The following is a 15,906-nucleotide window of genomic DNA, read 5'->3' as shown; positions in this document are numbered from 1 at the left end:
TGAATTGAATGAATAAAATTCCTAGGTTATATATTATTCTTTTCAATTTTTTCCTCTTAAATTTGGAGTTAGGATTATGGAAAAAAATGCCATATGCTATGCATCAGGGTCTAATCTCTTGATCTCTGTTTTATTCTCTCTTCATGTAAATTGTCCCTTTCCTTGACTTTTTCCATAGATCAAATCCAGCAGGGATCAAGCTTTGGCTGAACGTTGTCTTGCTGCACTAACCGAATGTGCTGCTAGCGGAGATGGAAATATCCTGGCTCTTGCAGTGGATGCATCTCGGGCAAGGTGAAGATATATAAGTTTGGAGGTTTCCAAAGACTAAAAGTTGACCAGTTTAGCTTTTCAGAGTATACTTAAATAAAAGGTTGATCCTGTAAACCATGTGAGCCCAAAAGAAAATAATGGCATCCATCGTAAATTTAATTCTTATCATTTTAAAATTTCTGTATTTAAAACATTCATGTTTTGAGTGAACTGTATTAATAATTGTGTATTTTACTGTGGCTGAGGAATTTTGAAACTATTGAAATGAATCCATTTCACTGATTCGCAGGTTGAAATGTGTTGGACTCTCAAGTATATCACCAGGTTTATGCCTATTACCTTGGTATTTTACCAGTTAAAATGGCTGTGGGGTGGGGAGGGGAACATTAATCTGAGAATTTATAGGAAAAACTTGTCATCCCATTGCTTTTGAATTAGTTTTAACCATGAAGCAACCGGAAGAGCAACCAACTTCCCCACACCCCCCTCCCAGTCCTTCCCTTGTTATTGGAGCCATGTGTTCCTTTAGGAGTAGAATACTTATTAATTGTTACTAGTCTTTTATCTCCTTTTGACATTTTGGTCTACTGCATTTGATTTTCTACTGTAATATAATTGCTCTTACTAAGTTCACTAGAGACCTCCTCTTTGTCTGATATTGTGAATAATTTTTAGTCCTTATCTTGAATTCTCTACAGTATTTAACATTATTGACCACCTCTTCCTTCTTGAGACGTTTTGCCTTTGTAACCCTTAACATGCTCCTTTGTCTCCTAACTTTTGTCATCCTGCATTTAAAAAAGGCTGAGTGAAAAACAGAATCTAATCTCATGTTATATCTGCTTCAGTGTTCCCATAGACACGATATTTGGCAAGGTAAAGTTTTTTGTACTTACTACCTAATAGGATTTTTGTGAGAAGACATTAAATCATTAAAAATAGTTCCTGGAACAGAATATGGCACTTAATGTGTTAATTTTTATTATTTTTCTATTTGTTGTTATTTAAAAATTATCTCATTATATGTATCATATATAAATAAATTTATTATATTAAGAACCAGAAGGAGTCTGAAATATTACCCTTCTTGCAAGCTAACAAGTTATCCTGTATAGTGGGGTGTTGGTTGATGATATGAGATCCCTGGATCAGAACCTAATGACAGTTTGTTACTACAATATTAATAGCCATAACATCAGCAGGTTTTGGGCTAGTTCCTTTGATGCCCAATTGATGTGAGTGATGTGAAAAGGACTGCTAGATGATACCTCATGTACAGTGCATTGGGTTACATTCAAGGAGAGGAAGCCTGAGCTTAGGGATTCGGAATCTTTTGTAATGGGTAATAAGCATGTCCTCCATTTTTCTAGAGGAAGACATTATTATATTGGACAGAAAGCAAACCTACTCTTTGCTCTGGAGGTAGCCAATATTTCTGTCTTCTAAGGCGATTCACTATACAGACATCTTTGAAAAGATAGTCCAGAATAAAGAGGTGTCAGTGCTTTGCTCCACAGGATGTGCAGAAAAGCAAGTGACCCATGGAAAATTTTCTCCCAATATATGGCAGTATCATTAAATGATTACTTTTGCTTTTAAGTGTTTATTTCTTAATATAATGAAGTTTTAAAAAAATATGTTGCTTTAACTGGTTAAGGTATAGTATAACTTGTATGTACTGTTTTTTTCTACTACTAATTTCATTAAAAAAATTAGATGACTTTTATTAAAGTCCTTTGATGGTTGCCCATTCCTTTTATATTCAAACCTAATCTTCCGATAGTCTGCAAGATGTGCTAGATGTGACTCTTGCCCATCTCTCTGACCTCATCTTATACCACTTTCCTCACTATGCCGTGTTCCTAATGCCCTTCTTTCTATTTTTAGAACATAAAACATATTTTCCTACATCTCAGAGCCTTTGCTTTTAGTGCTTCCTTTTTCAAACACTCTTACTGTTTTATGTTCCCTTGGGATCCCCCTTTTTATAATTTATATCTTAGTTCAAAAGTCATATCTTCACATCTTCAATAACTTTAAAATGGTTCTTCCAGACAGCCCATTCCATCTTTGCGTGGTTTAGTGTCTTTGTAGTACTTATTACCTTATGAAATTGTCTTACTAGTTTATTTATTTAGTTATTTATCATCTGCATCCTCTGACTAGATGTTACAGATGTTAATGTCTATAAGAACAAGTACTTTTTCTTTGGTCTCATTTATTACTGTATCGCTATAGTAGATATAGAGATATAGTAATATCTGGCACATATTAGGCACACAGCTAATGTTGGATGAGTTAGTGAACAAATGGATGGAATATGCTAAAAGATTTACTTCTTATCAAAAAATATTTATGGGAGTGTTGCTGTTTATCCATTTGTGTTAAGTGGTGAATTATTCAGCAACCTTCAGGTACTTGTCTATATATATAATTATTAGGTCATTCAGTCATTTCTTGGTTGACAAATGTTGAAAAGAGAATTGGATGCATAAAGGCATCCAGAATAAATTTTTCTTAAGTAATTTCAGAAGAGATGCTTTCATAATGCATTAAAAAATTCTTATTTTACATTTTTACAGTCATTTACTTATGTAATAAAATGTTTAATTATATTGAATATTATGGTAAACAGATATCTTTATCACAAAATAATGAAGTTAATGGAACCACCATTTCATGTTTCAGATGTACAGTGGGAGAAATCACAGATGCCCTGAAAAAGGTATTTGGTGAACATAAAGCGAATGATCGAATGGTGAGTGGAGCATATCGCCAGGAATTTGGAGAAAGTAAAGAGATAACATCTGCTATCAAGAGGTAATATGTAAGGTTTCTTAGGCCAGAATTTCATCTTTTCTGTTAGCACAATCCCCTTGAATCTACTGGGAGCTTAATTTCCTTACATACAACTGAGAAAATTTTTGAATTTTATAATAATAAATAGTAAATTAAATATTAATTATATAGACTATATAACATATAATAGAGTATATAATTTATTCATTACATATAATATATAATTAGAAATATATCATACATGATACATATTATATATCTATACTATCATTTTAATAGGTACATGATAATATTTAATAATAAATATCAAATATTGAAACTAATATTAGTTTTCATATAATTAATACTATTTTGAACTTTCACCATAGTCCCCTTCAGGAGTTTCTCATGTCAAACAGATGTTTAACTAACAATGATATTGCTTCATATCCTCCAGGTATTTATATTTCAATCTGCTTACTATGGTAGAGTTTCATATTTTTTGAAGTTGTTTACATTTTTCATTGCTTGAATAATTATAAAATCTTAATTTTCATAATTGAAAGTAAACATTTAGTTGGCATCTATGCATACATTACAATCAGTATTTATTGAACTGATAATAACTTACATTTATTTCCACAGCATGACTTGGAAATATATATTAATGTGATCATATTTCTCAAGTGTAAGAACTAGCTTTTTGATGATTGGTCTTTCCAACCTCTGTAACAAGCTTCCAATTAAAAACTGAATTTCCATACTTGTACACTAGATAAATATCAAAACAGCCAAGGTGAAAGTCATCAAAATGGAACTTTTTTCTTTTAACAAAGATAAGTGCTTTTTTGTGTTGGAAGTAAATTTGTCAGTGGAGCAAGCAAGCATTTTGATTTATATAGCATGATAAGAAACCATATTGCTGTTACCTTGGGAGAGTTCACACTTATGAAGGGTAGATGAGATATGGACAATTCAAAGCAGCCAGTCTATCACATATATGTATAAATGACCATGAAGTCACTTTTTAGTTTATATTTCAATCTTTCTGCATGTTGTACTCTGTACCCTGGCTCACGAAGGTGGGAGGTTGTCATTTTTTGTCTTAGTTCACCGTGATGTTCTCAGTGTTATGTGCTTACAGTCTGTGCCATCTTTCAGACTTTCCTCTAAGGGGGAAATGGCTTTAATGGAGCTCTCAATGTAAAATAGATGCATTAACAAAATATGGACGAGAGTAGGGAGATCATCACAAAGAATAGCTAATGGATGCTGGGCTTAATACCTAGGTGATGGGGTGATCTATGCAGCTGTTTACCATGGCACGTGTTTAACTATGTAACAAGCCTGCACATTAACCCCTGAATGTAAAATAAAAATTGGAAAAAAAAAACAACCCAAAATACAAGTAAACAAATTAGGTGCTTTTAAATAAACTTGAAAGATTTGCTGTGAATAAATTAGTTTTTATATCTTCCCTTTGGAAAATTAGTATCTAACTACTGATATATTTTTAAATGTTTTTCAGGGTTCATAAATTCATGGAACGTGAAGGTCGCAGACCTCGTCTTCTTGTAGCAAAAATGGGACAAGATGGCCATGACAGAGGAGCAAAAGTTATTGCTACAGGATTTGCTGATCTTGGTTTTGATGTGGACATAGGCCCTCTTTTCCAGGTACTAAAAACTGTTGGGGGGAATTTCAAAAGTATTTACTAGTCACTTACATTTAGAAAATGTAGTAAAATGATGACAGACATTGAGCAAATTAATACATCTCCTGGTAACTGGTATGTAGCCACTGACTTGGCAAATGCCTTTCTCTCCATTCCTGCCCATAAGGCCCACCAGAAGCAATTTGCCTTCAGCTGGCAAGGCCAGCAATATACCTTTACTGTCCTACTGCAGGGGTTTATTAACTCTCTGGCTTTGTCATAATCTTATTCGGAGAGACCTTGATCACTTTTCACTTCTGCAAGATATCACACTGGTCCATTAATTGATGACATTATACTGATTAAATCCAGTGAGCAAGAAGTAGCAAACATACTGGACTTATTGGTGAGACAGTTGCATGCCAGAGGATGGGAAATAAATCTGACTAAAATTCAGGGACCTTCTCCCTCAGTAAGGGGTCCAGTGGTGTGGGACCTGTTGAGATATTCCTTCTAAGGATAATCTTAGAAGGATAAATTAATGAATTTGTCTCCTACTAAAACCAAGAAAGAGGAACAATGCCTAGTGGGCCTATTTGGATTTTTGGAAGCAACACATTCCTCATTTGGAATGTGTTACTCTGTGTTACTCTGGCCTATTTATCGAGTGACCCAAAAGACTGCCAGTTTTGAGTGGGGTCCAGAATAGGAGAAGGCTCTGCAACAGGTCCAGGCTGCTGTGCAAGCTACTCTGCCACTTGGGCCATATGACCCAGCAGATCCAATGGTGCTTGAGGTGTCAGTGGCAGATAGCAATGATGTTTGGAGCCTTTGGCAGGCCCCCATAGGTGAGTCACAGCAGAGGCCTCTAAGATTTTGGAGGAAGGGCCTGCCATCTTCTGCAGATAACTACTCTCCTTTTGAGAGACAGCTCTTGGCCTGTTACTGGACTTTGGTGGAAACTGAATGTTTGACTATGGGTCATCAAGTCACCATGCGACCAGAACTGCCTATCATGAACTGGGTGCTTTCTGACCCATCTAACTATAAAGTGGGTCTTGCACAGCAGCATTCCATCATCAAATGGAAGTGGTATATATGTGGTCCAGCTTGAGCAGGTCCTGAAGGCACAAGTAAGTTACATGAGAAAGTAGCTCAAATGCCCATGGTCTCCACTCCTGCCACCCTGCCTTCTCTCCCTCAGCCTTTATATATATATATGTAAGGGGGAGTTTATTAAGTGTTAACTCACATGATCACAAGGTCCCACAATAGGTCTTCTGCAGGCTGAGGAGCAAGGAGAGCCAGTCCGAGTTCCCAAACTGAAGTATTTGGAGTCCAATGTTCAAGGGCAGGAAGCATCCACCACGGGAGAAAGATGTAGGCTTGGAGGTTAGATCAGTCTCTCTATTCACATTTTTTTGCCTGCTTATATTCTAGCCACGCCTGGCAGCTGATTAGATGGTGCCCACCCAGATTAAGGGTGGGTCTAGCCCTTTCCTAGCCCACTGATTCAAATGTTAATCTCCTTTGACAACACCCTCACAGACACACTCAGGGTCAATACTTTGTATCCTTCAACCAAGTTGACATGGAGTATTAACCATAACACATATAGTCCAATTAATTATGATAGAAATAAAAATAAAATATAATTAATCTTTCAGACTTTTAAAAGTGTCAGTTCAGAACTAAAACTGATTATGCCTCTGGAACTATGAAGATTACTTTCAAAGATCTTATTGTACTCTTTATTGAGATTTGACTAATATTTTGTGGGAAAGATAGCCCACATGGGATTGGTGAAAAGTGTTTTGAAAAAGAAATCAAATAGCAATATAAACTCAATTCATAAGTAAGGTTATTTTCGTTTATTTTTGTTGTCTTTTTTTAACTCTCTACTAATATGTTACTTAGTCACAGAATATTAGACTTAGACAGGAAAATAGTTTGCAGGAGATAAATTACACTGACATTTTCCATAGAATGATAATACAAAAAAATTTGACTAGAAAGTACATTGTAATAATTTTATATGAAAAGCCTTCTCTACTACATATGTATTGATCATCTACCAGATGCTAGGCTCTGAGTTGAGTAGGATACAATTTTGTCCTCGAGGTTACAATCTCCTAACAAAGAGAGATTTACTTACTTGTAATTACATCGTATGAAATTTACTATGTAAATTATTACTATTTCGTACATAGTATGAAAATTACTATAACTAAATTACTATAACTTTATACTATACTATAACTATAGTATAAAATTACTATAACTAAAATATGGACAAAGAGGGCACCTCACTTGTTACAAGAAACCCAGAAACTTATATTTGTTGATCCTTAAAACTTATGTTTGTTTCAGAAGCACAGTGCCATTCACTTTCTAGTAAAATCACTCTCTGAAGTGGATGGAGGAGAGCTGCAACTAGATTCAAGCAGTACGGTGAAGAAAAACAATGAGAAACAACGAAGACCTTAACTAGGGCAATGTCAGGGTCTCAAGAGAAACCAAATCTCAGCTAGGATTTTGAAGAAAATTTAATGGAGGGACTACTTACAGATATGTAGGCAGGATTGCTAGAACCACTAAGGAATAATGAGGCCTCCAGGAATTAAATTTTTAAGAATTTCAAAAGCCAGTTGTTTTTCATGGTGTGAAATGGTGTCTCATTTGTTTAAGTTCCTTGTAGATTCTAGAGAGTAGACCTTTTACTATTGCCTAAAACCAAAAGTGATAAGTACTAAAAACTTATCACTCCCTATATTTATATATTTTATTATCTGCTTTTTAGGTTATTTCCATCTATTTTTTCTATATGGTAGTGATACTGTATAATTGTGTGGCTATTGTGTGTCTTTTTTTCTGCTTTGCATTTAGTAATGTCATGTTAATAGGGTGAAATTGGCTATGGTTGGAATATTCACAACATAAAAATCAGCAAACACTAAAAATTAGGGATTGAGTTATTGTTTTCAGAAAATTTGATGAAAAATGTAAATAATCAGAACAAAGTTCTCTGAGGGAAATAATGTAACGATGAATATTAAATTTAAAAGTTTCTGATATCTGTAGGCATTACATTAGGAAGACCCCCCAACATTTGAGGAAACATTCTTTTAGTATTCAAAAAAATATTATTTTTTGTTTGTTTTTTTAACTTTTATTTTAAGTTCAGGGGTACATGTGTAGATTTGTTATATAGGTAAACTTGTGTTGTTAAGCCTAGTACCCATTAGTTGTTTTTCTGACCTCCCTCCTCCTGCTCCTCTACCCTCTGATAGGCCCCAGTGTGTGTTGTTTCCCTCTTTGCCTTGTTTGTGTCCATGTGTTCTCATAATTTAGCTCCCAATTATAAGAAAGAACATGTGGTATTTGGTTTTCTGTTCCTGTATTAGTTTGCTAAGGGTAATGGCTTCCAGCTTCATCCATGTTCCTGCAAAGGACACGATCTCATTCTTTTTTTCTGGCTGCATAGTATTCTTTAGTGTGTGTGTATCACATTTTCTTTATCCAGTCTATCACTGATGGGCATTTAGGTTGATTCCATGTCTTTGCTGTGGTGAATAGTGCTACAATGAACATACATGTGAATGTGTATTTTTTTTTTTTTTTTTGAAACAGAGTCTCGCTCTTTCATCCATGCTGGAGTGCAGTGGTATGATCTTGGCTCACTACAACCTCCACCTCCTGGGTTCAAGTGAGTCTTCTGCCTCAGCCATATGAGTATCTGGTACTACAGGCACGTGCCACCATACCTGGCCAATTTTTGTATTTTTAGTAGAGATGGGTTTCACCATGTTGGCCAGGCTGGTCTCGAACTCATGACCTCAAGTGATCCACCCGCCTCTGCCTCCCAAAGTGCTAGAATTACAGGCATGAACCACCACGCCCAGCTGCAAGCATGTTTTTATAATAGAAAGATTTCTGTTCATTTGGGTATATGTACGGTAATGGGATTGCTGGGTTGGGAGGTATTTCTGTTTTGAGGTCTGTGCGGAATCACCACACTGTCGTCTACAATGGTTGAACTAATTTACACTCTCACCAACACTGTATAAACGTTCCATTTTCTCCACAACCTTGCTAGCATCTGTTATTTTTTGACTTTTTAATAATAGCCATTCTGACTGGTGTGAAATGGTGTCTCATTGGGGTTTTTATTTGCATTTCTCTAACAATCAGTGATTTGGAGCTTTTTAAAAATACGATTGTTGGCCACATGTATGTCTTTTTTGGAAAGTGTCTGTTCATGTCTTTTGCCTGCTTTTTAATGTTTTTTTGTAAATTTGTTTAAGTTTTTTATAGATGCAGGTATTAGACCTTTGTCAGATTCACAGTTTGCAAAAGTTTTCTCCCATTCTGTAGGTTATCTGTTTACTGTGTTGATAGTATCCTTTTCAGTGCAGATGCTTTTTAGTTTAATTATATCTCATTTGTCAATTTTTGCTTTTGTTGTAATTGCTTTTGGCATCTTCATCATGAAGTCTTTGCCCATTAGTATGTTCTGAATGGTATTGCCTAGATTGTCTTCCAGGGTTTTTATAGTCATTATCTAGTAATAAACAATGATTTATCTTTACTTTCTGACTGTTTAGACTCCTCGTGAAGTGGCCCAGCAGGCTGTGGATGCGGATGTGCATGCTGTGGGCATAAGCACCCTCGCTGCTGGTCATAAAACCCTAGTTCCTGAACTCATCAAAGAACTTAACTCCCTTGGACGGCCAGATATTCTTGTCATGTGTGGAGGGGTGATACCACCTCAGGTATTTTTTATCTCTATTTTTCTAGTACTGTGATGGGAATCTTGAGTAATGATAGCTTATTTGTGGTTCTAAAGATAAACTTGTAGATTTAGGAACATATTATTTCCTGGTGATTTCACTAAATAAATTCTACAAGGTCTAAAAGTGGACAGTGTTGTTTTGCATTCAAGTTATATTGCAATTTATTATGTATAATTTAACTTAACACTTTACAAAGCTTCAATGAGAGAACTACCTCCTTGCAAACCAGTAACCTATGCTAGATGTTTACCTTCATTCTCAATAAACAGTTATGGAGAAGGAACAGGATAAAAGTAATAAAACTCATAAGTGGAGTAGAGAACAGTGGTAGTAAATACACAGTGAATATATCAAAACCTAGCCAGAGATATAGTGAGTACTCCTTGTCCTGGGGGGTGGAATGAGTCCTTTAGTTTGCTTGCTTCTATTTAGAAGGAGCTACCTTGTGCTTTTCCTCCAGGATGGTCCCATCCCTAAATGTTATCTTACCTCAGAGCTATATCATTTACATGGTCCTATAAAACCCTTTATTATTTAAGCTAATCTGATTAGGGCTTGGTATTTCGGGAGCCAAAAATATCCTATTGCAGACATAAATGGAATCAGCTTGTCTTGAAAATTATAGGCTGAATGGGGAGGAGGTGAATACATGAACAAAACTGTGAGTCCTCTTAGTAGAGGAGAAACAGATGTTACCTACAATGATATCAGTTAATTTATTAATGAGGTAGGGAGACACCTTCCACATATGACATTCCTGGCCAGTTAAAATAGTTATTTAAAATACAAATAGGTTCTGTTTCCAATCCAGTTCTCAATTATATCAAGATTTTCTTTTTTACTGAGAATGGAAAAAATGTCAAGTTAGAAGAACTGTATATGAAGCTGTCGTAAGTAAATGACTCATAGATGCTAGCTGCAAAGGCCCCATCACTATAGCAGGAATCCATCAGTAAAATGTGACCTTGTTTCCAGCTCTACAGTTTTTTTTTCCTCCATTAATACTCAGAATATAGAATAGTACATTCATATACTACTTGTGAAAGGAGAAAATTCATATGAATAAAGTTGTGAGATTCGTAATAAAGTGGGGCTACTGAACAAACTACATATTTATTTTCTTTCCAACAACACATTATTTAATGTGATATAATCAACACAAAATTCTTTTTGTTAATATGCTTGCCTATTATATTCATAAAATAGGTCATTATTTGAGAAAATAAAGGGTAGTTATTCTTTATTGCAGTCTGTCTACAGAACGCTTCTATCAGCGTTGCAGTTTTAGAGTCTGTGATACCTAGGCATGATATTAAAATGTAAGGACCAAAATAATTAGCCAGTAGAAAACATTTGAATTGGAATTCATGTTGAGAAAAAAAAAATGCCTGTTATATAAGTGAGCTGACATTTTCAAGAATTATATTTCAAATAAGTTGTATTAATTCTCTGGATATTTAAATTACTTAGAACATCTTTAGGTGTTTGCCATGTGATTTTTCCCATGAATTTAACAACTAAGGATAAGGACCATTTTCTGTGTTATACTTTTGTGTGAATATGGGTATTATATAATTATAGCAGTTAACACCCTTGTATTTTCTCACTATTTGTTTGCAGTGAATATGTAAAATGTTGCTATTATTCAATTAAAGGTCACTTAGTTTTAAATTAGAAGGCACTAATATCTAGTGGCTAATCAAACAGATACAGCTTCTGCCATGTGGAGCTTAACAGTTTCTGCAGTCTGATTAAATGAATAAACGTGGTCTCTCCTCATCAGTATGTTACTACGATCAGTATTTTCTAACTCTCTTAGCAGCAGTCGCCTCCAAGTTTTTTCAGCAAGTTGAGTAGACTCACAATGCCTGCTTCCATCATGAAGCAGGCACTGTGCTATCCCTGGCCCAGCTAAGTGGAGGACATTCAAACATATATTTTTATTTGGAAATAATTTCAAACTAACAGATAAGTTGCAAAAATAAAAATAGTACAAAAAATATCTGTATACAACCCCCTCACAAAGGTATATTTTACAAGGCTTATGTAAGAAAGAGTTAGATAAGTCACATACCCTTTTTTCAGTTGCAACATCTTGCAGTTCTCTTCCAGTTGAATCCTCCATTCTAAATCCATAACTCAGATGTCAGGACAAATGGTACATGGGATTTTTAGGAAGGAGAGAAGTACAAGACCTATTAATCTGACATCTCCAATTTAGAGATGATTATTATTACATGTTTCATTCAGTTCCCTTATGAGCTCTTAAACTCTGTATCATCTACTCAAGAACAATGACATGTTTTGAGCACTTTTATGTGTCAAGTACTGGGGAAACAGATTGGACATGATCTCTACTCTCAGAATTTCACAGACTAGAAGGAGACAAGTTCAATGAGATGTGTTAAGTTCTGTTGCAATATTATAGTATTATAAGAATATTACAAGTATATAATAGAGACAGAAAAGTAGTAGTTGGGGAGTAATTAGCATGACCATATAATTTATCACTTGAGAATAGAAATGGGTGCTCTTAAAAAGGGTGCTGCAACAATAAACAAAAATCAGACTGTCCTGTCATATATGATCACCCTACTGGATAATGATCAGGTTCTTGTAGCACATCCTAACATCAATCGATATTGCAGCTACAAATGTTCAGATGTTATAACAGCCTAAATCCTGCAGTATTATTTGTGCCCTTGATATCTTTTCACTCATACTTTGACTGTTAAAATAAACTAAAAAGGCCAGGCACGGTGGCTCATGCCTGTAATCCCAGCACTTTGGGAGGCCAAGGTGGGCGGATCACGAGGTCAGGAGATTGAGACCATCCTGGCTAACGTGGTGAAACCCTGTGTCTACTAAAAATACAAAAAATTAGCCGGGCATGGTGGCGGGCGCCTGTAGCCACAGCTACTTGGAAGGCTGAGGCAGGAGAATGGCGTGAACCCGGGAGGCGGAGCTTGCAGTGAGCCGAGATAGCGCCACTGCACTCCAGTCTGGGCAACAGAGCGAGACTCCATCTCAAAAATAAATAAATAAACAAAACAAATAAATAAACTAAAAAAAATCAACAGCAACAGAGAATGAAAAAAAAAATGGGCTTATTTTCATTTATAGAAAATCTATCAGTTGTCCAAATTCAAAGTGCCATCATTCACTAACTGCAGACAAAATACCTAGGAGAAAATAGTTTTTTAGGCTCAAACTTATCACATCATACTAAATTTAACACACATAATGACAACTAGTGAAAATTTAGGTGAGAGAAAATTATGGCTTAAGGCTCAGAAGTTCTCAGTCAGGATATCCAGCTTCCTACCACAAGCAACACATAGAGGCATTTAGAAAATGGGCGGAGTGTTTTGTTTTTTAAATAACTTGGGCTGGGAGGCTGGTGCTGATGACTATTAGTAGCACTCCCAATCAAGGAAGAATTTTTTAGCCCCAAATGCCAGTAGTATACCAGTTGAGAAGGTTTTGGGTAATTGAGTGACAAAGAAGAAAGGATAGGGTTTTATTTCCGTGAAAATGGAAATAGTGGCTCTTATTAATTAAACACATTCTTTCAACAGGATTATGAATTTCTGTTTGAAGTTGGTGTTTCCAATGTATTTGGTCCTGGGACTCGAATTCCAAAGGCTGCCGTTCAGGTGCTTGATGATATTGAGAAGTGTTTGGAAAAGAAGCAGCAATCTGTATAATATCCTCTTTTTGTTTTAGCTTTTGTCTAAAATATTATTTTAGTTATGATCAAAGAAGAGAGTAAAGCTATGTCTTCAATTTAATTTCAATACCTGATTTGTACTTTCCTTGAAAGCTTTACTTTAAAATACCTTACTTATAGGCCTGGTGTCATGCTATAAGTATGTACATACAGTTTCACTTCAAAAATAAAAAAAAAATCCCTAAAAACTCTCTATACTCTCTATAACAATACTTTATCAAGAACTCTGGACAATGGTATTATTTTTAAAAATCATGGTGATGTATTTATTAGAATGTTTCTTATAAATCTGTTTACTTTTTATATTAAGAATTAAACTGTACCTAAAAAAACTCTGACTATTCCCATTTGTCAGTTTAGCATTACATTGTCTTGAGCACCAGAAAATAAAATCCATATATTAATAAAAACCTATCTTGAAAAACTAGTGGAGTGTATTTACGTGGCAAAAGAGATTTTGGGAGGAGTCCTCAGCCAAATTCTACCAGAATCACCTTAATAAAAGAAGTATTAAAATCAAGCACAGCAGGTTGGAATATGGGGAATTTGACAGTATATTTCTTCAAGTCTGAGTTTACTTTCTTCCTGATCATGACCATCTGACCTTGTTATTTCTGGGCTTGGCTCAAGACCAAGGAGAGTGGATGTTGATGAACATTCCTTTAAATAAAAGTGCTTAGGTTGTAGTTATGGCTTTGTCTAGAATGGTGATGTCAACTGTGAGTGTAGGTCTGTGATATAGAAAGAATTCAACTTTCCAGATCTAGAAAGATGCTACCTTGCATAGATTTGCTCCTTAAACATAAATTGCAAAAATAAAAATATCACAGAGAACACCTGTACTTTGCTTACTGAAAGATTTGCTCACTAAAGAAGGAAAGTTGCCATTTACCTGTTTAACAAATCTGCACATCCTGCACATGTTCCCCAGAATGTAAAATAAAAAAAGTTTAAATAAAAAAGGAAAGTTGTCCTTTATTGTTAACATGATCCATTACATGAATATAACATAAATAATTATCTTTTTTAATAAATTTCTATTGTATTAGATCAGAGAGCAGTCTTTTGGAAAGTATTATAGATACATTACTGTAGAATTTACAAACTCATTGTAATACAATGTATTTAATTTTCAGAATATGATTATCTGAATGGTATTGTCATGATTATTGTTCCCATTTTCAGATGAACACTGACTTCAAGTCCAATGATATATTCACTATGCCATTTTATTGACTTTTCCTTGTAAAGCAATGCACACTAATTTAGTAAGTATTTGGTTTCTGTGATGTGTTCAGTTGCGTGCTGGGTGACATGTGAAATAAACTCATCCTTGAGGAATTTACAGCTCTTGACAGTATCTTTTGAGTAGACTACTTTGGGAGGAAGAATAGCAGCCACTTGCTACCAAATTTCACATCCATTGTGTGTGTGTGTGTGTGTGTGTGTGTGTGTTTGTGTGTGTGTGTTTACCCGAAGTCAGAAGTACTGGCTCCAATAACCTTACTATTGAAAACCTATTTTCTGAAATATCCAGTGGCATAACTCATAGAAATGAAATCTGGCCTGACTCTAAGATTAAATTTTCTCATTATTATTAAATCGAGAAAGTGTTAAAACTTAAACACTTTAGTGTTATTTAGATTCCAAAAGATTCCAAAAGAAATTTCATCCGACCTTTATTACTATCCTTATTTTTGGATGAAAACTTGTATGCCCAACAATGAGCTGACTTTTGGAAATGATCAGGAAAATAACCAAGTATATTAAAAAAGTGGATAGATATTTTATACAGATAAGCTATCCGATATTCACCAAATAGTACAAGAAAATAATTAATGGATCAGGAAGACAACTACTTTCCTCATTTCCTTTCATCGAAAACATCTGATTCAAAATAGAAGATTCCAGCACAACCAAAACATACTGCACAAAGCAATTTAACTTACTGATATGTGTTGTTTCACAGGTGAGCACTTCATCAATCTAATAGTGCCCAATCTTAGTTACAGTTATTTCATCTTTGATAAGATTATATTTATGATGCATGATGCCAGTGAGGCAACTGACAGAGATAGGAAGAAGATTTTGCATTCATAGCCAGTGTGATCTAGATATCTTTGCTTTGTTTATAGGCTAATGAAGAATCAAGAGTTCATCTGTGAGAAACACACCATATACACATATCCACACCTGAACTGAAGAAATAGGGAACTCAGGCATTAACTAACTTAAACTCTTACCAATCAGGGTTCAGAGAAGAAGAATCAGTAGGAGACGTGTGTATGAGTGTGTGTGTGTGTGTGTGTGTGTGTGTGTGTGTGTGTGTTTATGAGCCGGCTGGAACCCCACAGGCATAAGCTGAAGCTTGTTTTCTTCAGGGAACCAGTCAGGAAGGAAGATAATAGACGGAAGGGAGAGCAATTGTTGATTCAATGACTGGAGTCTGGGCTCAGGAAAGGTTCAAACCCTTTTTATTATTTTTATTTTGTATTTTTAAATTATACTTTAAGTTCTAGGATGCATGTGCAGGACATGCAGGTTTTGTTACATAGATATACATGTGGCATGGCGGTTTGCTGCACCCATCAACCCATCATCTAAGTTTTTTAAGCCCTGCATGCATTAGGTATTTGTCCTGATGTTCTCCCTTGCCTTGCTCCCCAACTCCCCAACAG

At 35.2% G+C, this 15,906-nt stretch overlaps 1 protein-coding gene across 2 annotated transcripts in view; it reads left to right on the top strand.

Moving 5' to 3' along the window:
• Positions 1 to 14,573, top strand: part of MMUT (methylmalonyl-CoA mutase) — a 32,894-nt gene extending 18,321 nt beyond the window's left edge. For both annotated transcript variants that reach the window (XM_005249143.4, NM_000255.4), the window contains exons 9-13: positions 179 to 294; positions 2,962 to 3,093; positions 4,580 to 4,727; positions 9,310 to 9,477; positions 13,077 to 14,573. In XM_005249143.4, coding sequence (XP_005249200.1) covers positions 179 to 294; positions 2,962 to 3,093; positions 4,580 to 4,727; positions 9,310 to 9,477; positions 13,077 to 13,205 — 693 coding nt within the window. In that variant the 3' untranslated portion in view covers positions 13,206 to 14,573. The remainder of the gene's footprint in view (positions 1 to 178; positions 295 to 2,961; positions 3,094 to 4,579; positions 4,728 to 9,309; positions 9,478 to 13,076) is intronic.

The sequence above is a fragment of the Homo sapiens genome, chromosome 6, assembly GCF_000001405.40.
Source record: "Homo sapiens chromosome 6, GRCh38.p14 Primary Assembly".
NCBI classification, from domain to species: Eukaryota; Metazoa; Chordata; class Mammalia; order Primates; family Hominidae; genus Homo; species Homo sapiens.
Note: the sequence above shows the minus strand (reverse complement) of the source record. Positions and strands in the feature narration are given on the sequence as shown.